Source organism: Homo sapiens, chromosome 11 (genome assembly GCF_000001405.40).
Source record: "Homo sapiens chromosome 11, GRCh38.p14 Primary Assembly".
NCBI lineage: Eukaryota > Metazoa > Chordata > Mammalia > Primates > Hominidae > Homo > Homo sapiens.
The window spans coordinates 45,907,295-45,929,189 of NC_000011.10; the positions used below are offsets into that span (position 1 = coordinate 45,907,295).

Consider the following 21,895-nt stretch of genomic DNA (forward strand, 5'->3'; position numbering starts at 1 on the left):
CCCGTTGCCGGCTCCCAGGGCCACCTCACAAAGGGCCTTCATTCCAAGCCTGCGTCAGCACCTGCCCTGGGGCAGGGCCAGCAGTCTCCCCCGAGGCTTGTTTTTGTTCTTATTGATGCTGTTGGCTAATAGGTGCCAAACCCGATCTTGTTCTAGTGTTGCTGTCCAAGGAATAAGAGCACACACTGTGGAGTCAGATCTCAGTTGAGGTCCTGACCTTGCCTCTTACTAGCCGGACAAGTCACTTCATCTCTGTGTGCCGGAGTTTCCTCATCTGTGACGTAGTCCATTACACACCCTACAGACATAGGCCCTCCGAAGAGGGCAGGGGATCCTCACCACCCAGAGCCCCAGCCATTCCTACAGCACCCCCCCCCCACCCCCACTGGCATGGCAGGAGGTCCGAGCAGGTCCCGCCAGCTGAGGAGCCCAGAGTGGCTCTCTCAGCCCTGCCTGTCTCAGGGTCTACGTGAGAGGGAGTGTGCAGGCTCCCTGTGTCCCCAGCTCAGGGCCTTTCCCTCTCCGCTCTCTGCAGCTTACAGCGGCCTGAGGCTGGATGGAGGGCTTCCAGACATATGGTGGCAGAGCTCTGGACCTGCCCCTCAAGTGCAGGCTTCAGGAGGGCAGGGAGGGCTTTGTTCACTGGAATCTGCAGCCCTGGACCCCTGGTAGGCGCCCAGTGAGCCTGTACAGCTCGGCCCTGCACTGGACACCGTCCCCTCGCAGGCCTGGGCTCAGCTGCAGGTGCCACCAGAAGGCCTCTGGCTGGCTCCTGGTTCTCCACTCAGCAGCCAGGCTCAGCCCATTTATACCTGCAGTGCGAACCTGGCTCACCAGAACCATGGCAAGCCTTCAAAACAAAATCCCTGGCCCCACCCCAGATCTGTAGTATCAGAACCTGAGGGCCGAGCCCAGGGCTCTGGAGCTTTGGTAATCCAGTTGCTTGAGATGGCCAACCTGCCAGCTGGCCCAGCCGCTCTCCTCTGACAGCTGAGGGGCCCAGGGAGGGAAGTCCCTTGTTTCCAACCCTGGCTCCTCCAGTGGCCTCATTCATGCTCCTGGTCCTGAGTACCGGAGGCTGACAAGTTCTGGCGGTTCCTTCAGCCCCGTCACCCTCTGCATGTTGTTCCCGCACTCACTTCCCAGTGGCCACCTCCCTTTATAAGTCCTGGAGACAACACGTCTCCACGAGCCTGCCTCAGCATCCTGTGCCCACCAAGGCTTGCCCTGCCAGGAACCTGGAGTTCTGTCCACTCTGTCTAACCCCAAAGCCCCTCGTCCTTCTTGCTCCTCGTCTCCTAGACACCACCCTCTTCCTCCACGCCAGTCCCCAAGACTAGCTGGGGTTACCCTTAATCTCCCTATGTCTGCTGCCACTGCCATTGCCCCTCCCACTGCTACAGACCACTGCCTCCAATGTCACGGCCCCCATTCTTCCACCTCTGCCCACCAAAGCATCCTCCACCAGGCTGCTGGAATATTTACAAACACAGACCCCTCCCCGCCTACCATAGACCAGGTCCAAGTTTCTCCCCTGGATATGTGATGCTATGTTCAGTTTGGCCCCGACCTTCCCCTCCAGCGTCCAGCTCCCACCTCCCATGGCTCCACAGAGCTGTGACCCTGGGCACACAGCGGCCCCTTGCAGGCTGTCTACCGAAAAACTGGACAGTTCTACCGGTTTCAAGCCTGCCTGAGTCAAGGCTTGGCCAATGGAGCCCGATGAAACCCTTCACCTCTGTCACCACTGCAGGTAGGCAGTTGCCATTACCGGGGCACCCCCAAGCTAGACCCCGCTCTGGACATGCCACCTCCTGCCAAGTCCCCAGTGTGGTGCCTGCATCCACATGCCTGTTTCCTCCGTTGGTGAGAGGCGGAGGGCAGGGGACTGTGCTTCACTGCTGGTTTCTGATGGCCAGGCATGTGCCCAGAAACGCCTGTTCCACTAAGCTGGAGGCCATGGGAGCCCAGGCAGCCCCTTCCCCTGCCTGTGGGTGAGGACCTGGGGGGCGCTCCTCAGAGGGCCCTGGGGAAAGCAGTGTGTCTTGGAGGAGCTGAGGCATGGAGGACCAAGGTGTAGATGGAGCCCTCTCTGTGGGTTTGAAACTCTAGCATGAGAGGCTGGCTCTTCACAGGGCCAGTGGCTGAGGACAGGCTAAGTTCAGGGAGAAGACGACCAGCCTGCGGCCCACCCTGTCCAGGCCCTCCCCCATAGCAGCTTGCATGGCTCCAGGTGGACCCGGCCTCTGGAGCCTGCAGGGCAAGCATGGGGAAACCCCAGCTCATACCCCCTGAACTGGCCCCGGCTTCCTCCCCGAGCCTGTCCAGCTCCCACTCCCTCCCCAGTGCTGGCCAGTGCCCGATGTCCTTTTTCTAAGGGAGAAAAGCCTTTTACTCTCAACCGAGGATGCAGGGCTTAAAGTGCCACTTGCGTGGGAGCCAGGCTCACTGTTCACCAGGCTCTGTCACAGGGAGGCTGGCAACGCCATGGCCTGGGGCTGCCAGAGCCACAGGGCCCTGCGGAGAAGGGGCAGACGGAGGGCCCCAGCCAGAAGACACGCTGGGCAGCGTTCAGCCATCACCCGGGTTCAGGCTTCCTGTCCTCACCAGGGGCCAGCGAGAGAGCAGCAGTGTTCGCTCCTATGGCTGCCGAGGCGAGCAGCTTCCCGGGCTCCATGAGGTGAAGTCACCGCTTTCTGTGGGAGAGGAGCCTGGATCCCACTCCTAGTGAAGGCTTCTTGGCCCAGCAGTGACAAGGTGCGGGCTGCAGTGGCATCGTCACAGGAGAGCGCAGTCAAGGGTGTCCTGGGAGGAACGCTGGTGGCGACCAGGGCTGTGTGTGGGGCCTGGCCGGTAGGCACGGAGAGGCCGCACGCTGGGACGCTGCCGGAGTCAGTTTTATTAGGGAAGAGGGGCTCCCTGCCCCACCCCTCCCCACACCCTCCTTCCGGGAGGTCTGTCAGCCCCAACTGTAGAAGTAGATTTTCTGCCAGGTGGGCAAGTAATCCATGAGCGGCCCTGCAGTGGGAGAGGGACACATCAGGGCAGGCCAGACCCCAATCTGCACTGTGGCGCCACATACAGCACCTCACCCCTGCGGCCCAGGAGCCAGCCCAGCTGGCTGTCTTGCCCTGCCCCCAGGAGGCAGCACTGCAGGGGACTCTGGCACCATTTACAAAGACCCTCAGGCCCAGAGAAGCTCAGCCAGGGTAGACACTGAGGGGCCTGAGTCAGGTCCAGTCACCCAACCCAAGCCCAGTGGGCCTCTGCTGAGGGAGGATCTCAGCAGCCCGGTGGACCCCTTCTCTGCCATTGAATCCCCCCAAGATGAGATGGTCCCGTATCGCTCCAGGATACTGTGACCAGAAAAAAGCTGGCAGCTGATGTGGTCCCCCCACCAGTGGACACCCTCCTTCCAGCCATCCCTGGCTCCTCAGGCCACCCTGGCCTATGCCCAGGGGCAGTCCCACCCAATCCTGACTTCCCGACTTCCTCTCCTGACTGTGCCAAGAATCAAATTGCAAGGAGACAGAGGAGTCAGGGAGGTGCTTGCATGCATGCGCCTTCCAGCACTACAGTCATCGCGTCCCCATCCCTGCTTACTTGTGACCAGGCCAACGCCAGGGACGTGGTCGGCCAGCAACTGGAGCAGGAAGAGGATCCTGGCCCTGGGGGAGGCAATAAATGGGGAGCAAGCTGAGTGGGGTGGGGGTGGGTCCCTGCAAACCAGGAGGCCCAGAGGCCTTCACTGACCACCGTGCCGAATGCAGCGCATTCCAGAAAACAAAGGTGACTTTCTTGGGAGCTAGGACAAAGCCCGGTACACAAGGGCAAGACCTCTGGGGTTGGCTCTGGCCTCCACCCTCCACCAGCTCAGCTTCGGGGTGGCCGCTGACCCACAACACCTCCTCCCATTCCTCTTTCCCCTTCCACCGACATCCAACACTGAAGGCCTCTAGAGGGTCGCATGTGGAGCAGCGCCCTGGCAGTATGGTGGAGGGTCCAGGGAGGACAACCCCACCCTGCCCTCGGGAAGCCCCCCAGTCTGGCAGAAGTGCTGGGCTGCATGGAAACCTCACAAGCCACCAATGAGAGTAGTCAGGACCTTGGTAGGGGACACAGTACTGAAGAGGGCACATTTTGGTTCAGGGGAAGGGGCAAGGCCCAAGGCCCTGATTTTTAAGACAGGAGGGTTTTCCACAGGGGAACTCGGGTGAGATGAGGATGCTGATGACAATACATAGCGCTACGTGCTTACTACACCCCACGCACTGCTGTACGCGTTAGTCACTGAACCCCTACAAAGTGGGTACTGTCATCATCCCCATCTTACAGGTGAGGAAATGAGGCACAGGCGCATCAAATAACTTGCCCAAGGCTACACATCTGGAAGGCGGCCTGACTCCTTATATGTCTGTCTGAGCAGCAAGAAAAGAGGAAGCCTGGGGGCCGGGTGTGGTGGCTCATGCCTATAATCCCAGCGCTTTGGGAGGCCAAGGCGGGCAGATCAATTGTGGTCAGGAGTTCGAGACGAGCCTGACCAACATGGAGAAACCCCATCTCTACTAAAAAATACAAAATTAGCCGGGCGTGGTGGCGCGCACCTGTAATCCCAGCTACTTGGGAAGCTGAGGCAGGAGAATTGCTTGAACCCGGGAGGCAGAGGTTGCGGTGAGCCGAGATCACGCCATTGCACTCCAGCCTGGGCAACGTGAGTGAAACTCCGTCCCAAAAAACAAAAGAAAAGAAAAGAAGAAGGCTGGCTGGGTGCAGTGGCTCCACCTATAATCCCAGCACTTTAGGAGGCCAAGGCGGGCCTTTGTTTCCCTAAAGGACAGGGAGCAGGGTCCAGAGAGGTGCCAGGGTGTGGTCCAGAAGGAGCAGCCTTACTCTTTTTTCTGTTTTAAAAAAAAGATGGGTCAGGCCAGGCGCGGTGGCTCACGCCTGTAATCCCAGAACTTTGGGAGGCCGAGGCAGGCGGATCACGAGGTCAGGAGATCGAGACCATCCTGGTTAACACGGTGAAACCCCATCTCTACTAAAAAATCAAAAAAAATTAGCCAGGCATGGTAATGGGCGCCTATAGTCCCAGCTACTCAGGAGTTGAGACAGGAGAATGGCATGAACCCGGGAGGCAGAGCTTGCAGTGAGCCAAGATTGCACCACTACACTCCAGCCTAGGCAGGCAACAGAGCCAGACTCCATCTCAAAAACAAACAAACAAAAAAAGACAGTGTCTCGCTCTGTCACCCAGACTGGAGTGCAGTCGCGCGATCTCGACTCACTGCAACCTCTGCCTCCTGGGTTCAAGCGATTCTCCTGCCTCAGCCTCCTGAATAGCTGGGACTACAGGCGTGTGCCATCACACCTGGCTAATTTTTGTATTTTTAGTAAAGACAGGGTTTCACCATGTTAGCCAGGATGGTCTCTACCTCCCGACCTTGTGATCCGCCCGCCTCGGCCTCCCAAAGTGTTGGGATTACAGGTGTGAGGCATCGTGCCTGGCTAAACTATGCCAGTTTTGTTTTTTTTTTTCTGTTTTGTTTTTTTGAGACAGGGACTTACTCTGTCACCCAGGCTAGAGTGGGATGGAGTGATCATAACTCACTGCAGCCTCAGCCTCCTGGCCTGATCCTCATGCCTCAGCTTCCTGAGTAGCTAGGACTTACAGGCGCACACCACCATGTCTGGCTAATTATTATTATTTTTTTTTTTTTTTTGTAGAATTGGGTTGCCCAGGCTGGTCTCGAACTCCTGGCCTCAAGCCAACCTCCTGCCTTGGCCTCCTAAAGTGCTAGGATTATAGGTGTGAGCCACTGCTGCCCAGCCTATGCCAGTTTTTAAGCTATTATTAGGTCCTAGACAAAGGGGGTCCCGGGAGCCTTGTCTGCCTCACAGTCCCAGCCACTGCACAGGGTTTCCCCCTGTCAGACTGTGGTCTAACCTCAAGCAGTCATAGTGGCAGGCCTGTGGAAGAACTAGTCCCAAGCTGCCCCCTGCTCAACCCAGCAGGCCTCTCTCAGGCTGGGAGCTCTGGACCCTCGCAGGTGACTGAGTGGGGGCTGGGCCAGGCAGGGAAGGCCAGGGGAGATCCTGGGTTTGGGATCTAGCTCTACCACTGGCTAGCTGGGTGTCTTTAAGTTGCCCAACCTCCTTGAACCTCCAGGTCCTCCTCTGAGAAGTGAGGATAAGCCAAACTATTTGGCAGGAAGAAGTGGAAATGAGCTAGAGGCCATGGGCGCCCGCCCTGTCGCCATCCCTGTGGGCCACCTGGCAATGCCCTCAGCCCTGCCCTCAGTGCCTCTCCTGCCAACCAATGTTTAAGTTCCTGCTCAAGTGGCCTGATGGCCCAGAGAGCTCTGCGGGCGGGACTGGGCTGGCATCTGGTGACTGCCACCCGGACAACACACAGTGCTTGGTGAACCCTGGATGAGGCGTGGGGAAGGGAAGGCGCCAGCAGGGACCGGAGCACCAGTGCCCGCTTGCCAGCCCTCTCCCTGGCTCAGGGTGTCCTGGGTGCTTACTCGGAGAAGCGGTCATAGAAAGGAGAGCGCAGCAGGTAGTAGAGCAGCAGGATGGTCCGGCGCCGCAGCTCCCGCCGCTCCCTCCGGGTCAGGCCCTTTCTGTCACTCAGGAGGCTCAGGCTGGGAGGCAGGGAGGACATGGTCAGGGCCAGGGGCATGATCTAGGCCCACGGAAGGGGAGGAGCCATGGGCTGGGTGTCCAGAGGGGCAGCAACAGGAGGAGCAGGGGCCGCTGCCACCCCGCCTATGTGAGGCCAGGATTATAGCAGAAAGCCCAGTGGAGAGTGAAGCCCCAGGCAGGCCCAGGCTCACCTGGTCACGTCCACAACACCAGCCAAGAGCCAGGGTTTCCACGACCTCTGACCCCACAGGCCCAGGCTGAGCACTGACGGCCAAGGCGTCAAGGATGTCTCCAGCACAGGGGCCTTGCTCAGCACACTCCCCACTCAATCCCCAGCCCACAGTGCCAGCCCTATCCTGCCCCGCGCTAAGGATACAGTGCAGCAGCGGCCGGGCAATGTACAAAAACTCTGCGATGGTCTCCTGCAGCCCCAGGGGGGTGGGGGTCGCACTCAGCTCCTCGTGATGCTGCTGCTGCCGTCCCTCCCGCTGCTGGGGAGCTCCCCAGTGCCTGGAGTGCAGGGACGGCGCTAGAACACAAGGGCGGCAGATGAGCGAGCCAGGCCCAGGCTGGGGCAGGGGAAGGTGGCTGCTGACCAAAGCCAGTCCCTCAAGCCCAGGCAGACAGCACCTAGGTGCCCAGGCCAGCCACATCCTCCACTTACTGTTCTGGAGGGTTCGCACCACCCGGTTTGACCGCTTCCCCACGTAGGACTGCTCATGGTTGCCAGGGCTGTGGTCACCATCTAGCAGGGATAGACAGAAGGCCATACAGTCAGAGGGACATGCTTCCAGCGGAGCCTGCAAAGAACGTGTGCAGTGAATGCTCAGGAGCTAAGGGGAGAACAGATGAGCTTGTACTATGGCAACAGCTGAGTCAAGGGAACTACAAGCAGGGTGGCGGCTCAGCACAAGACCCGTCCACAGAGGAAAGCACTCTGCAGCCCTCCCTAGCCTGGGGAAAGCTCAGCATAGCTGTGGCCAGAGCCAGCCTCCCGGAACCCATGGACAGGCAAGGCAGGGAAGGCCCAGCCTGACCACATCTATGGAGACCACAGCACCAGAGGGGCCGTCTCCTCTCAATCCTTTGCCTTCAAAACAATCATGATGAGAGGCAATGAACGGCCCCAACTCAATGTCCAGAGAGTGAGGCCCAGAAGCTGACGGGATGGGCCCAAAGCCCTGAAGGGACAGATGTGGTGCGTGCCCTGCCTCCTGCCTCTAGAGGCTATGGTTCTGGACACAGAACCAGGCTCAGAGTCGAGGTTGGCGGCATCCCATCTGTTCCCTCTTCCTGCAGGCTACAAAAATGAATGACTCTGGCCATGACAAGTACTGGGTTCGTGTTCTGATTTTGTCCCTAGCCGCATCATTGTCTTCTCTGTCGAATACATGGCAATGAGAACACATAGTTGATAGGGACAGGCGTGCTCCATAAACAGATACTACTGTATTCATGCTGGTTGGATCTAAATCCTCAAGTTAGTCCCATGGCCCATTCCGCTCCAGGGCTTGGGGAAGTAGCTCACCCGGGGGCTGTGCCTGGGTCTCTCTGTCCAGTGGAACGATAGGGGGTGAAGTCTGGAGGCCAGCCTTGAACCAGAGCAGCAGGAGCATCCGCAGTACAGCCCTGGGTCGGGGAGTATGTCAGGGTTGTGGGGAGGTGGCTAGCCGGCGGGAGGCCAGGGATGCTCTGCTGAGCACCATCTGTGTAGCTAGCCTGCGTCACCCCCACCCAGGACCCTCTCCACAATCCCAACCTACTTGGCCAGCTGGACGAGGGCGATGACAAGCCAGCGGCCCACTTCACCCCACACCTTGGCAGCTCCCATCTCCATGAACACCTCCACGCACTCCAGCACGCTCAGCCATGTCAGCAGCTTCTGCTGGGACAGCGACTGCAAGAACCCCAGGCCAAGAAGTCAGGGGGCCTGGGACTACAGGGAGTCCCAGGCCCTTCTCCTAGGAGGGAGCTTCTCTGACAAGAGATGTGGACCTTCCCCTTTCCAAGCCTAACTGTGCAGGTGTGAGTTCAAACACCAACTCCACCATTAACAGGCTGGGGGACCTGAAACAGCTGACTCTACCTCTCTTCACCTGAGACAGTCTCTTCATCTAAGATGGGAATACTCACACTTTACAGGTCACCTAATGAGATGGTTTGAGGCTCAGATGGACATAGGCCTGTCTCATACTCCATGAGACATGTGCTGCACGCATGGGCTAGCTGCTACTATTTCATTCCTGAGTCCCCATGCTTCCCACCCTGTTCTTGGCAGAATTCTCACCACAGGCAACTTTTTCCGAAGCTCCTTCCGTAGGATCCCGTCATTGAGCAGCACAAGCAGGTTAGAGGCAGAGTACACTGAGGGGTAGAGAGTGGCCTTGAGAGGCTGGCTCTGCAGCCTCCATCCCTCTCACCTTCTCCCCAGAGCTGCAGGGATCACCTGTCACATGCTCTGCTCAGACACCCACAGACTATGTGGAAACCAACCTTCTTCTCCACCCACTTCCTCAGCACTCCCCTCTCCCCAACATGATCTCACAAGGGTGGCTGGACCAAGAAAGGATGGGTCAATCTCAGTGACAAGCCAGTTACTGCCCTGCTGGATGGCACTGGTCATCCAGCTGCCCACAACTGCCCATCGCTCTCTGAACTGCCACAGATACACGGTCCCACCTCCTGGCCCTTTCTCTCTTGGCAGCCTGTTCCTGAGGGTCTATTCCACCTCCACTTTTCTTTTTTCTGAGTCGGAGTTTCACTCTTGTTGCCCAGGCTGGAGTGCAATGGCACAATCTCGGCTCACTGCAACCTCTGCCTCCCAGGTTCAAGCAATTCTCCTGCCTCAGCCTCTCAAGTAGCTGGGACTACAGGCACCTGCTACCATGCCCAGCTAATTTTTGTATTTTTAGTAGAGATGGGGTTTCACCATGTTGGCCAGGCTGGTCTCGAACTCCTGACCTCACGTGATCCACCTGCCTCTGCCTCCCAAAGTGCTGGGATTACAAGTGTGAGCCACTGCACCTGGCCTCACCTCTGCTTTTCAAAACCCAGTGCATTCTTTCAGGACTGTGACAGCAGTCACTGGGCAAACACTCTTGAGGTAGTTACAATCTGGGAATCCTGGAATCTGGGAGATCTAGACTTGAATCTTGGTTCTGGGACCATCAGTGACTGTTCTCTAACCTCACTGAGCTTCTTCCTTAAATGGACAGTGATGACAATAAGTACCACTTAATATGACTGTAGGGAGGATTAACAAGTAAAGGTAAGAAAGGCACTTAGTCCAGCGCCTGGCCAGTAGTGAATACTCAGATAAGGTCCCCAGACGTGTCTCTTGACTTAGGGACATGGAGGGCCCAGGACAATGAACAACAGACCTTGTGCCGATTCAGTCATAGCACAAGGTGTCTAACGGGCAGCCCAGGTCCTCGGGCTGGGGTGCTCACCCTCTCTGGGGAACTCACCAGGGGCCAGGCAGCCGATCCCCCATCCCCCACCCCCAGAGCCCGGCTCACCCAGCTCTGACAGCTCGTGCGAATCGGCGAATCGACCTGGGGAGAGGGTACAGAAGGAGGTGTGAGTGAGCATCTGCCTCACATTTCGTCTTCGGGTCCCGGAAATCCCCTCCCTACGCCCTTTGGGAACCTGGACGGGTCTTCTCAAGCACAGCGATCACTACCCTGACTCCGCAGGGAAGGGGGCCACTGGGGTCATAGGTCAGGGCCCAGAAGGAACTGATCAAAGGTCAGGGTGGCACCTGCCAGCAGGTAACTGAAGCCCCGCACTGCTGTCTCCAGCTGGGCCGTGGCGGCCGGGTGACGAGTCACGTACTCCTGGTAGCGGAGGCCCAGGAGCCGCAGCTTCTCCATCCTGCCCTCGGCACCGACAGACCCACAGAAGGACCGTACGACAGGCTGCGGCGCCCTGCTTCCTGCGCCCTCCTTCCTGCTTCCGGTCTTAGGCCCGCCTCTTGGTTGCTTAACTTCCGCGGGCCAGAAGGCTGAGGACTTGAAGAACCGGTGAACCACCCTTCACCCCATCTCTTGAACCGCTTCCCACTCGGGTAGCCCTTAGCAACTGAGGGCCCAAACCCGGCCCCCTACTCCCTCAAGTCATTGGTTAGCACGCTCTCCGCCCCTGACCCGCCCAGCGCCGTCAGCACCCAGCTCTTCCGTTTACCGGGTTGGCTGCCCTTGCGCCTGCGCAGTTAAAGCTCCGGTAAAGCCGGGCGGCAGTCAGAGCAGTTCATTCTAGAGAAGGGAGCTGGAGCCCCGAGTCTTTCCAATGGAACGCCGAGAGACTCGAACGGCAGGGCCGGATTTTAAAGGGCTGAGAGATAGCGGGTGCTTGAAAAAAGGAGCCTCGATCAGATTTGGGGAGGTGCGGGGCGTCTAAATACAGTTGCACTGTGTCTCAGCAGGCGCGCGTTCGGCCAGTATCCCCATCTCCGTTTCCTCAACAAAGGTAGTGCTGGGGAAACTGAGGCAGTAAGGAGTCCAGCCCTCTAGTGCCGTCTCGATCCCCTAGACAGCACAGTTAGTGCTCCGGCTTCGGCCTCAGCTCCCGTATGGACTGTGCCCCCCAAAGGGCTCGCGCCTGCATTCCCACATACGCGAAGAAAGCCCTGGCCCGGGCTTCTCTCGGCTCGGTGGCCCTTGGGCGGGAGTATCCCTTCTCTGGGTCTCGGATTTCCCGATCTGTAAAATGGTTTGAGGGCAGACTTGATCCTTGAACTCAGAATCGATCTCAGCTTTCTGGCCCTCGGACGCACCTCGCAGTCCTCAGCTGCGCCCCCAAGGGAAGGGGAGACCCCTGGGGAGTATCTTCCCAAACCAAGCAGCCTCCCTGGAACGGGTGGCACCGGGAGATCTGCGGCGAGTGGTGGAGGGAACGGGCGCTCTGGGGAGGTAGCGCTGATTGGCTGCGGGGAAAGGGGCGTGACATGGGTGGAGCCGTGGGCCAGTGGCCTGAGGGAGCGGGCCAGCGGATTTATGGTACCCTGAGAATAGTAATACATTATTTTACCTAATCCTCTCCACCAGATATCTCCAGATGAAGAAAGCATCCTTTTAAGAACGCCCAGCCAAAATTTGAGTGTTGGTCTTTTCTGACCTCAGAGACTAGGCGGTTTTTTTTAATTCATTTTTTTTAACTTTAATTTTATTTTTAGAGACCAGGTCTAAGCATCACACCTCACCAGGAAACCACAACCTTCCTTCCACTCCCTCACTCCACCCTACTCCACAGCTTAGTTTTCTTCTCTATCAGGTGGGGGATTAAAGCTGCCCTCTTCTCACATCAAAGAACGAAGACCCAGGGAAAGGTGACCAGGGGCCTGAGGAGAGGCAAAGGTCTTGGAGAACAGAGGAGGTGGTCATGGGCATCGTCGACATCATTTCTGGCCACGCTCTGGGTTCCAGGCTTGCTTGCCCTCCTCCCAGCAGCCCCAAGTTGCTATGAACTGTTCACAGATGGGAAATTAGGGCCCAATAAGGAGGGGAAAGGATTTGTCCCACATGGCACAGCAAGGCACTGGCCAAAGAGGCCACAGCGCAGGTCTCCAGTGGCAGTGCCCTCTCTCCTACTGCCCACAGCCCACAAAAGCTGTGACATGTTGAGGCTCCTTGGTCATAAGGCCAGTTAGCAACTGGGATTAGGACCTAGGCTCAGGGCCCTCAAGGTGAGGCTCCTTCTCCCTTCCTCTGCCCCACCTTGTTTTTTGTTTGTTTGTTTGTTTGTTTTTGAGACGGAGTCTCACTGTCGCCCAGGCTGGAGTGCAATGGTGCAATCTCAGCTCACTGCAAACTTTGCCTCCCAGGTTCAAGCAATTCTCCTGCCTCAGCCTCCCGATTAGCTGGGCCTACAGGCGCCCGCCACCACGCCTGACTAATTTTTGTATTTTTAGTAGAGACGAGGTTTCGCCATGTTGGCCAGGCTGGTCTCGAACTTCTGACCTCAGGTGATCCGCTTACCTCAGCCTCCTAAAGTGCTGGGATTATAGGTGTGAGCCACTGAGCCCTGCAGGGCCCTGCTGTGCACCAACACCTTAGTGAACTTGTTCCTCAAACCTCCAGTTTGGCCACTCCTCCAGCCCTCCCTCTGCAGCTGTGGAGAGGGTACAGAGAGAGAATTTGAGGTTCTTCAGCACTCCTTGGGCTGGAGGTCCTGATTCTGAGAGCAAGGTGTGGAGGGGAGAGGGGCAGACTCCCCAGGACAGAATAGGAAGGGGCTTGGGCTGGAACCAGTTTCTTCTCCCTCCCTGCAGAACTGGGAAGGGGAGCATGGGTCTAGCCAGCTTGGCAGCAGCAGGGCTGCCTGAATTTCCTCTCTAGATCCCAGGCCGGATTAGGGCCCAGAGACAAAGAGTTGCGGTGTGTGCAGGAGGCCCCTCCCCTGCTCCCTGGCCCCCTGCCTGGGCTTGGCCGTCTTTGTTGGGCTGGAAGGACCTTTGGGCAGATTGAGCCGTATCCTCTCTCCTTCAGTTTGCCCCAAGTCACAGGGGAAGAGAGGTAGACCAGTCCAACATTTACCTACGAGAGTACCAGAGGCCCAGAGATGGAGCCTCACTCGTCTAATAGGGTCACACAGCAAAGTCCTGGGCAGAGCTGGGTCAAAATGGGTCTTAGGCCAAGAGGAACAGCACCTGTTTATATGCCCATACGTGTCCCTCTTTCTCCCTCCACGCCCCCAGAACAACCCCTTGGGGGCCTAGCAGGTATCTCAGCACTTCAGTTTCCCTGAGTGGTGAGGTTGAGCCAGAAGAAGGGCCAACATTGTGAGTGACTACAGTGAGATCTGCAGACCCAGCTTCCTGCACTGACTCCCCCAGCCCCTTTATTGAAGACTCATCCTGGGCCAGCACCCAACTATGGATCCCATATGGTGTTTGTTTGTTTTTAGAGACAAGGTCTCACTCTGTCACCCAGGCTGGAGTGCAGTGGTGTGATTACAACTCACAGCAGGCTTGACCTCCTGGGTTCAGGTAGTCCTCCTACCTCAGCCTCCCAAGTACTAGGCACATGCCACCACGCCCAGCAATTTTTGTATTTTTTGCAGTCATACAGTTTGGCCGCATTGAGCAGGCTAGTCTCAAATTCCTGGGCTCAAGCAATCCACCTGCCTTGGCCTTCCAAAGTGCTGGGATTACAGGCATAAGCCACTGTTCTGGCCTGGTCTCACATGTTTAACCCCCACAAACCGTCTCTGTTGAGGGTCCTGGAGAGGGAATCACATTTCCCCACCCCAGCTTTAGGCTACAGATGAAGATCAGGGAGGCTGGAGGCTCAAGCTCCAGACGCCTGAGTGGCCAGTGCATGGCCCTTCTCAATTTCTGGGTGCACAAGGAGCCACCATCAGTCTCCATAGCAACCATTATCCCTGCCCTCCAGAGACCCAAAGCCTGACCTTCCCCATCTCCCAGAGAAAGGGGGTCTCAGGTTGGGCTGCTTTCCACAGCTTCTTTTGAGTTTGCCTCACTTTTTGCAGCCAGAAGTTGGGCAAATGACACAGCCTGAGCCCCCTTTCCAGGTCATGGGAGGGGAGATTCTCATTCCAATCCACTTTCAACAGGTATTGAGCACTTGGTATGTGCAGGCCCTGGTTGGGCACTGGGGACTGGACAGACAAGGTTCCAGTCCGGTGAGCAGCTTACATTCTGGGAGGGAGACCTGCAATAAACAAGCAAACAACTTCAACTTTCCATGAGTGCTAGCCAGCCCTGGGAGGCTCCGCTGCCAGAAGGAACGTCAAGGGCAAGTCCTGGGGCGGGAGACCCTTCCGGAGGAGGAGCAAGAAAGCTGCTTCTGCAGCGCAGAGCCTGGGGAACGGAGTGGGGCCGCTTGAGACGGGAGGGGCCGGAGGGTGTTCTTGTCTAACAGGTCACTTAAACTCTCCGGGGGAGAATTAGCCCGCATCATGGGATTAATCGAGGGTGATTAAATCCTTAGCACAGGGCCTGGCACGCTGTGCTGGTTTAGGGTCCAGAGCGCCCCCCACCCATTCCCTGGCCTGCTATGGGGTGCGCGGGGGAGAGGGAGGAAAGACGAGCTCCAGGCCGGTGCGCCCGGGCACAATCACGACGATCTGGACAAGAGTGGGGATCCCCGGCCCTGCCCAGGCAGCCTAGGCCGCCCGCGTCTGGGGCCCCTCGCCAGCTCCCGGGCGGGAGGCGGCCTTCACAAGGGCGCTTTGTCCTGGCGGCGCCGGCAGGGCCCGGCCGGGCCACCTGGACTGAGAGTGGGGGAGTGAGGCGAAGGCTTCAGGTGCTCCGCGGCTCTGGCGCAGGTGTCGGCCGGCTCCGCCCCTGTCCCCAGAGCAGGTGTCCCAGACCCTGCGGCCTGCATTCCGGCCCCCTCCTCCTCCCTCGTGTCGAGCTCCCGCAGTGTCTTTGATCCCGGGCCCGGGGACACTGGCCCCTCCCCTTGGGGAGTGAGGGGAGGAGACGCGGCCCCAGAGCGGGGGCAGGGCAGGGGGTCAGGGCAGGTAGCGGGGCCCGGGCCTTCGCGGGTGGCTGCTCCCGCTCCCCCAGCCCTCCCCTCGTCCTGGTGGGAAACTCAGCCCAGAAGGGGGCTTCGGGGGCTCCTCGCGGGCTGGGGAACCGTCGGATGCCGGCCCAAGGGGCGGGGCCAGGACCCCGGGGGGGTCACCCCGCCCCTTCGCGCTCAGCCCCGCTGAGGTGAAACCTGAGCCCAGGTCGGGGGCGGGACCGGCCCGCGCCTCTCCCCTGGTTCCCGCACCCTGGCCGGCGGCTGCGAGCGCAGGGCCCAGCCCGGGAGCCGCTGGAGCAGGTGAGGGAGGTGGCTCGGCGCGAGCCGCACAACCCGGCCGTCGGGCCCCGCCGCCCAGGGCTGAGTCTCCCATCTCGCCCCTCGGTCCGCAGGGCCTGCGATGGAGCCTGCAGCCCCGGGTCGCGTCCCTCCCTGAGCGCCCCCGTCGGCGGCCATGCTGCCCCGAGGGCGCCCCCGGGCGCTGGGGGCCGCCGCGCTGTTGCTGCTGCTGCTGCTGCTCGGATTCCTCCTGTTCGGTGGGGACCTGGGGTGTGAGCGCCGCGAGCCTGGCGGGCGAGCGGGGGCCCCGGGATGCTTCCCCGGCCCGCTCATGCCACGTGTCCCCCCAGACGGGAGGCTGCGGAGAGCCGCCGCCCTCGACGGAGACCCGGGGGCCGGCCCCGGGGACCACAACCGCTCCGACTGCGGCCCGCAGCCGCCGCCGCCGCCCAAGTGCGAGGTAGGTGCGCGCGGCCCTGGCGGCGGGAGTCCTGGGGGCGCCGCCCCCGAGCCCGGCCTCTTGGACATCTGCGGGAATCACAGTACCTGGCGTCTGTCCAGCACTGGCCAGCCGGCTGGGGCGCACCTCGAACGTGCAGCTCCTCTGCTCCCGACCTCATTTCCCCATTTGAAATGAAGGGTTGGCTCCTGCTGCCCCCTCCGCACACTGTTCCGGGCTCTGCTGCGGGGTGGGGCAGCTCAACATGGGTCCTCACCGCCTAGCGGAGAAGGGGGGCTGCTGCCGACCTGGGCGTCCCTCCCCAGCTCTTGCATGTGGCCATCGTGTGTGCGGGGCATAACTCCAGCCGAGACGTCATCACCCTGGTGAAGTCCATGCTCTTCTACAGGTACAGCCAGGTGTCCGTGGAGGAGGGTCAGGAGTGGGGAAGGGACAAAGCCCGGGACAGGCTGCTGGTCTCAGAGCTTCAGCTTCCTCATCTGTGACGCGGGGACAGTGTCCCCTTCCTCCCTTAGAAGGGCAGTTGTAAGAACATCCTGCCGGGCGCGGTGGCTCACGCCTGTAATCCCAGCACTTTGGGAGGCCGAGGCGGGCGGATCACGAGGTCAGGAGATCGAGACCATCCCGGCTAAAACGGTGAAACCCCGTCTCTACTAAAAATACAAAAAATTAGCCGGGCGTAGTGGCGGGCGCCTGTAGTCCCAGCTACTTGGGAGGCTGAGGCAGGAGAATGGCGTGAACCCGGGAGGCAGAGCTTGCAGTGAGCCGAGATCCCGCCACTGCACTCCAGCCTGGGCGACAGAGCGAGACTCCGTCTCAAAAAAAAAAAAAAAAAAAAAAAAAAAAAAAAAAAAAAGAACATCCTGAGCCGGGCGTGGAAAAGCTCTTTGCAGATGGCGCTTCCATCTCTGCGCCCCTCGGGGTGGGGGCTGTCCCATGTTGCTCCTGCTGGGGCCTCTCAGGCTTCCTCTTTGCCCACCCAAAAGGAAAAATCCACTGCACCTCCACTTGGTGACTGACGCCGTGGCCAGAAACATCCTGGAGACGCTCTTCCACACATGGATGGTGCCTGCTGTCCGTGTCAGCTTTTATCATGCCGACCAGCTCAAGGCAGGGGCCCAGCCCTTCCCCCCTCCCCTCAGCTGTGTCCACCGCTCTCCTCTCTCCAAGACCTGGTGGGGTTGGAGAAGAGAATCATCAGTCCCCCCTCCACCTACTGAAGCGCAAACCCCTCTCTTTTGGGGGTTTACCCCCTCTCCTCTGTGTCACTGCAAGCATGTGTTCTGGTGCTCATAGGCCCCTCTCTGCCATCTCATCTCCTGCCTTTCCCCCACACAGCCCCAGGTCTCCTGGATCCCCAACAAGCACTACTCCGGCCTCTATGGGCTAATGAAGCTGGTGCTGCCCAGTGCCTTGCCTGCTGAGCTGGCCCGCGTCATTGTCCTGGACACGGATGTCACCTTCGCCTCTGACATCTCGGAGCTCTGGGCCCTCTTTGCTCACTTTTCTGGTGAGAGGCCTGGGAGCCTGCCTGGCCTGCCCAGGATCCCTGCATCCAGCCCTGAGCCCAGGTCCTGTGGCAGCTTCAGACAGCTCCCTTATGCCCTCCCCTCCCAGACACGCAGGCGATCGGTCTTGTGGAGAACCAGAGTGACTGGTACCTGGGCAACCTCTGGAAGAACCACAGGCCCTGGCCTGCCTTGGGCCGGGGATTTAACACAGGTGGGGACAGTGGTGAGGGGAGGCAGGCGGGGTGGTCTGCTGGTCCTTGGGCCCCTGGGGCTGGGTGGGGCAAAGAATGCTAGGAAGTCCCCCAGGAAGAACATTGCTGTGAAAAGAACCCTGGATGAAGAGACAGACAGCAGTTCCAACAGTCCTGTGTGTGCTGGATGACTTTGGCCAGCTCTCGTGCTCCCTCTGAGCCTCAGTTTTCTCATCCATTAAATGGGGGATAATTTTAACAGCCCTGGGATCACCAAGTGTGAGAAGGCCATGGATGTGCTCTGTAAGCTGGACAGCGCCTCCTCTTCACCCCCGAGGATTGACTATTGACAAAAGTAGTCTACGAGCAAGCTGGGTGCAATGGCTCAGGCTTGTAATTCCAGCACTTTGGGAGGCTAAGGTGGGAGAATCGCTTGAGCCCAGGAGTTCGAGAACAGCCTTGGCAACATAGTGAGACCCTTGTCTCTACAAACATTAAAAAATTGACCAGTCGCAGTGGCTCACACCTGTAATCCCAGCACTTTGGGAGGCTGAGGCAGGCAGATTACTTGAGGTCAGGAGTTCGAGACCAACCTGGCCAACATGGTAAAACCCCTTCTACACTAAAAATACAAAAATTAGCCAGGGGTGGTATCACGTACCTGTAATCCCAGCTACTTGGGAGGCTGAGGAGGGAGAATCACTTGAACCCAGGAAGCAGAGGTTGCAGTGAGCCGAGTTCACACCACTGTACTCCAGCCTTGGCAATAGAGTGAGACTCTATCTCATACATAAATAAGTAAATAAATAAAAAATAAGTAAATAAATAAAAAGGATAGGTGTGGTGGCATGCCTGCAGTCCCAGCTACTCGGTGGGGGTTGTGGTGGGGTGCTGAGGTGGGAGGTTTGCTTGAGCCTGGGAAGTCGAGGCTGCAGTGAGTCATGATTGTGCCACTGCACCACTCCAGCCTGGGTGACAAAGCAAGACCCTGTCTCTAAAAAACAAAACAAAACAAAACAAACAACAACAACAAAAAACAAGTAGTCCATGATCATGTCTGAACAGTCAGAAAATACCAATGTCAAAAAACAAAGGACACCTTCATGACCCCCATGTCCCCCAGGAGCTGGTCGTCCCAGGTGGGCATGACAGCATCTCTTCATTGGCAGGTGTGATCCTGCTGCGGCTGGACCGGCTCCGGCAGGCTGGCTGGGAGCAGATGTGGAGGCTGACAGCCAGGCGGGAGCTCCTTAGCCTGCCTGCCACCTCACTGGCTGACCAGGTCTGAGGAAGCCTTGCCGGGTGGGGTGTGGCAGGCTGGGGGCTGGGATGTGATGGGTGTCTCTGCTCAGGACATCTTCAACGCTGTGATCAAGGAGCACCCGGGGCTAGTGCAGCGTCTGCCTTGTGTCTGGAATGTGCAGCTGTCAGATCACACACTGGCCGAGCGCTGCTACTCTGAGGCGTCTGACCTCAAGGTGAGTGGGACAAGAGGCTGTGTGGTGGTGGGGGGCCATGGATGGAGACTTCTGCTCCCTGCTCCCATGGCCCCAACACCCTCCTGGGTCCCAGGTGATCCACTGGAACTCACCAAAGAAGCTTCGGGTGAAGAACAAGCATGTGGAATTCTTCCGCAATTTCTACCTGACCTTCCTGGAGTACGATGGGAACCTGCTGCGGAGAGAGCTCTTTGTGTGCCCCAGCCAGCCCCCACCTGGTGCTGAGCAGGTGAGAAGGAGTCACCTTCCCCTGCCCCTCTCTGCTTTGGTGGGACCCAGCCTTGTCTGGGGGATGTGTTGTTCTGCCCTATCCCCGGTCCTTGTCACCCCTTGCCCCCTCAGTTGCAGCAGGCCCTGGCACAACTGGACGAGGAAGACCCCTGCTTTGAGTTCCGGCAGCAGCAGCTCACTGTGCACCGTGTGCATGTCACTTTCCTGCCCCATGAACCGCCACCCCCCCGGCCTCACGATGTCACCCTTGTGGCCCAGCTGTCCATGGACCGGTGAGGGTGCAGAGGGCAGCCCAGGGGGTATGGCATGGGCTGGGGTTGGACACTTCTGAGAGGAGGTTCCATCTGGCAGCCTGATGCTGTGGTAGTGAGCTACCTGTCCCTCAGGGAGTTCCAGAAGTTGGAGACATTGGATATGGTGGAAAGAGCTTGGGCTCTGGAGTCATTCAGATGCCCGGAGCTGCCCCTCGGTCGCTGTGGGACCATGAGCAAGTCTTCATATCTCTGGCCCCTAGTTTTCTCTCTCAAATGAGAAAGTACCCACCTGGTGGGGGTAGTTGTGAAGATTCAATCAGACTGGCTCTAAAAGTATTTGAAGGGTGCTCAGTAAGTCACTTGAGGAGGTGGCAGCAGCAGCTAACTGGGGAGGTTTGCCAGGCCTCCCTGAGCTCCTGTGCAAGAGGGGCAGAGCTGTGCTGACCTCCCTCTCCCCATAGGCTGCAGATGTTGGAAGCCCTGTGCAGGCACTGGCCTGGCCCCATGAGCCTGGCCTTGTACCTGACAGACGCAGAAGCTCAGCAGTTCCTGCATTTCGTCGAGGCCTCACCAGTGCTTGCTGCCCGGCAGGACGTGGCCTACCATGTGGTGTACCGTGAGGGGCCCCTATACCCCGTCAACCAGCTTCGCAACGTGGCCTTGGCCCAGGCCCTCACGCCTTACGTCTTCCTCAGTGACATTGACTTCCTGCCTGCCTATTCTCTCTACGACTACCTCAGGTGGGCCTGCAGGCAGAGAGGGGAACAATATATGGGGTGGACGTGGACGGGGCATGCGTGGGACCCCAGGCTTCCATGTCCCTGCTCCTTTCTGGGCCTCAGTGGCCTCTGTCAATTGGGGTTTGTATTAGGCTGTTTCTCTGGGCTGTCAACAGGGAGGCCAGGGCCGGCTTCAACAGCAGCTCCACCTGTGGTTGTGCCCACCCGTCGCATCAGGCAAGATGGCCCATGGTGGTCTAGTCCTGTGGCTAATGCCCTGATGAGTGTCACTGGCCCAGTCCTAGATGCCCCGCTCTTCTCCCCTGCTCATGGGTGCTCCTCCTCAGGGCCTCCATTGAGCAGCTGGGGCTGGGCAGCCGGCGCAAGGCAGCACTGGTGGTGCCGGCATTCGAGACCCTGCGCTACCGCTTCAGCTTCCCCCATTCCAAGGTGGAGCTGTTGGCCTTGCTGGATGCGGGCACTCTCTACACCTTCAGGTAGGAGAGGCTACTTCTCTGCCCACTCCACTCACTTGCCCACACTGGCCCCCACTACCCACGAGCTCCTAGCCTCAGCCTGGCTCCCACCCGACCCTGCTGCACAGGTACCACGAGTGGCCCCGAGGCCACGCACCCACAGACTATGCCCGCTGGCGGGAGGCTCAGGCCCCGTACCGTGTGCAATGGGCGGCCAACTATGAACCCTACGTGGTGGTGCCACGAGACTGTCCCCGCTATGATCCTCGCTTTGTGGGCTTCGGCTGGAACAAAGTGGCCCACATTGTGGAGCTGGATGCCCAGGTGAGGAGGGCACCTTGCTGCCTCCACCTTTGACTCGAGCACCTCCAGGTCCAGGGAACTCACGACACCTGCATGGGGGACCACACCACTAGGCAACACTGTTAGAAATGTCCCCCTTCTGTGGAATTAAAATAATCTGCCCTTTGGCCCTTGCTTTAGCTCTCAGGGGCTACAGGGTAAGCCTGTTCTCTGGAGCTGCACCTTCCCCGCAGGCCAGGCAAGCCAGGCAGCCACTGCTCCTCTGCCCCACCCTGCAGGAATATGAGCTCCTGGTGCTGCCCGAGGCCTTCACCATCCATCTGCCCCACGCTCCAAGCCTGGACATCTCCCGCTTCCGCTCCAGCCCCACCTATCGTGACTGCCTCCAGGCCCTCAAGGACGAATTCCACCAGGACTTGTCCCGCCACCATGGGGCTGCTGCCCTCAAATACCTCCCAGCCCTGCAGCAGCCCCAGAGCCCTGCCCGAGGCTGAGGCTGGGCCGGCGCTGCCCCTCATCTTAGCATTGGGCAGACACCAGGGCAACCTGCCCTCCGCCATCCCTGCTATTTAAATTATTTAAGGTCTCTGGGAAGGGCTGGGGCAGAGCATCTGTGGGGTGGGGTCTTCCCCTTGCTGCTATTGTATGGCTGGGGACTGGTCTCTCTCTGCCCCAGCCAGTTTGGGGCTGGTTCCCCCATCTTGAATTGTTTATCCCTTTTTCATAATTAAAGTTTTAAAACATCTTTTTTGTGTTCCTGGTTTGGGGGAGCAAGGGCACTCTGGGGCTAGGGCGTCAGTGCACAAGGGAGGTGCTACATCCAGCTGGGGTCACAGGA

General features: G+C 58.9%; 2 protein-coding genes across 24 annotated transcripts, besides 5 other annotated features; one reads left to right on the forward strand and one right to left on the reverse strand.

Moving 5' to 3' along the window:
* Nucleotides 300-1,245: an enhancer, noted in NCBI's record as "H3K27ac-H3K4me1 hESC enhancer chr11:45929145-45930090 (GRCh37/hg19 assembly coordinates)". NCBI's record gives its function as "activates a minimal SCP1, AML or CMV promoter by ChIP-STARR-seq in primed H9 embryonic stem cells {active_cell/tissue: H9 hESC(primed)}" and the evidence as "EXISTENCE:reporter gene assay evidence [ECO:0000049][PMID:30033119]".
* Nucleotides 2,369-11,528, reverse strand: PEX16 (peroxisomal biogenesis factor 16). 5 transcript variants are annotated; one of them, XM_047427886.1, is made up of 12 exons: nucleotides 10,828-11,528; nucleotides 10,164-10,199; nucleotides 9,680-9,847; nucleotides 8,933-9,009; nucleotides 8,409-8,542; nucleotides 8,174-8,274; nucleotides 7,310-7,390; nucleotides 7,022-7,174; nucleotides 6,837-6,909; nucleotides 6,525-6,644; nucleotides 3,604-3,668; nucleotides 2,369-3,018 (listed from the first exon to the last, which is right to left on the reverse strand). In XM_047427886.1, the coding sequence occupies exons 3-12, from the start codon at nucleotides 9,702-9,704 to the stop codon at nucleotides 2,960-2,962; spliced, it is 888 nt and encodes a 295-aa protein (XP_047283842.1). In that variant the 5' UTR covers nucleotides 9,705-9,847; nucleotides 10,164-10,199; nucleotides 10,828-11,528; the 3' UTR covers nucleotides 2,369-2,959. The 5 variants fall into 5 exon arrangements, with proteins under 5 accessions (XP_047283842.1, XP_047283843.1, XP_047283844.1 ...); XM_047427887.1 differs by lacking the exon at nucleotides 10,828-11,528 and adding an exon at nucleotides 10,406-10,583; XM_047427888.1 differs by lacking the exon at nucleotides 9,680-9,847.
* Nucleotides 9,639-10,391: an enhancer, noted in NCBI's record as "H3K27ac-H3K4me1 hESC enhancer chr11:45938484-45939236 (GRCh37/hg19 assembly coordinates)". NCBI's record gives its function as "activates a minimal SCP1, AML or CMV promoter by ChIP-STARR-seq in naive H9 embryonic stem cells {active_cell/tissue: H9 hESC(naive)}" and the evidence as "EXISTENCE:reporter gene assay evidence [ECO:0000049][PMID:30033119]".
* Nucleotides 9,639-10,407: a biological region, named in NCBI's record as "H3K27ac-H3K4me1 hESC enhancer GRCh37_chr11:45938484-45939236".
* Nucleotides 10,338-10,407: an enhancer, noted in NCBI's record as "active region_4672". NCBI's record gives its function as "activates an Ori minimal core promoter by ATAC-STARR-seq in GM12878 lymphoblastoid cells {active_cell/tissue: GM12878}" and the evidence as "EXISTENCE:reporter gene assay evidence [ECO:0000049][PMID:35858748]".
* On the forward strand, nucleotides 14,327-21,802 carry LARGE2 (LARGE xylosyl- and glucuronyltransferase 2). 19 transcript variants are annotated; one of them, NM_001300722.2, is made up of 15 exons: nucleotides 14,327-14,399; nucleotides 15,527-15,670; nucleotides 15,764-15,873; nucleotides 16,179-16,261; nucleotides 16,860-16,983; nucleotides 17,212-17,383; nucleotides 17,491-17,595; nucleotides 18,745-18,857; nucleotides 18,928-19,053; nucleotides 19,148-19,303; nucleotides 19,417-19,577; nucleotides 20,021-20,299; nucleotides 20,626-20,775; nucleotides 20,883-21,078; nucleotides 21,336-21,802. In NM_001300722.2, exons 2-15 carry the CDS (start codon nucleotides 15,589-15,591, stop codon nucleotides 21,549-21,551), a joined length of 2,073 nt encoding a protein of 690 aa, NP_001287651.1. In that variant the 5' UTR covers nucleotides 14,327-14,399; nucleotides 15,527-15,588; the 3' UTR covers nucleotides 21,552-21,802. The 19 variants fall into 19 exon arrangements, with proteins under 19 accessions (NP_001287651.1, NP_689525.3, XP_047282304.1 ...); XM_047426348.1 differs by lacking the exon at nucleotides 14,327-14,399 and adding an exon at nucleotides 15,362-15,434 and having other exon boundaries at nucleotides 21,238-21,802; XM_011519889.2 differs by lacking the exon at nucleotides 14,327-14,399 and adding an exon at nucleotides 15,362-15,434 and having other exon boundaries at nucleotides 21,291-21,802.
* Nucleotides 15,262-15,481: a silencer, noted in NCBI's record as "silent region_3292". NCBI's record gives its function as "represses an Ori minimal core promoter by ATAC-STARR-seq in GM12878 lymphoblastoid cells {active_cell/tissue: GM12878}" and the evidence as "EXISTENCE:reporter gene assay evidence [ECO:0000049][PMID:35858748]".
* Nucleotides 21,803-21,895: the final 93 nt, after the last annotated feature.

Bases quoted from the DNA above. Each gene is read 5' to 3' on its own strand.
- PEX16 (NM_057174.3), bottom strand. From the start codon at position 10,517: ATGGAGAAGCTGCGGCTCCTGGGCCTCCGCTACCAGGAGTACGTGACT. The intron at 6,910-7,021 runs GTATCCTTAGCG...CTTGGCCGTCAG, and splicing joins TGCCCGGCCGCTGCTGCACT to TGCTCAGCCTGGGCCTGTGG. The intron at 2,884-3,603 runs GTAAGCAGGGAT...TGACTCCGGCAG, and splicing joins TGGCGTTGGCCTGGTCACAA to CGTCCCAGCGTGCGGCCTCT.
- LARGE2 (XM_047426344.1), top strand. From the start codon at position 15,589: ATGCTGCCCCGAGGGCGCCCCCGGGCGCTGGGGGCCGCCGCGCTGTTG. The intron at 15,874-16,178 runs GTAGGTGCGCGC...GTCCCTCCCCAG, and splicing joins CGCCGCCGCCCAAGTGCGAG to CTCTTGCATGTGGCCATCGT. The intron at 16,984-17,211 runs GCAGGGGCCCAG...TCCCCCACACAG, and splicing joins ATCATGCCGACCAGCTCAAG to CCCCAGGTCTCCTGGATCCC.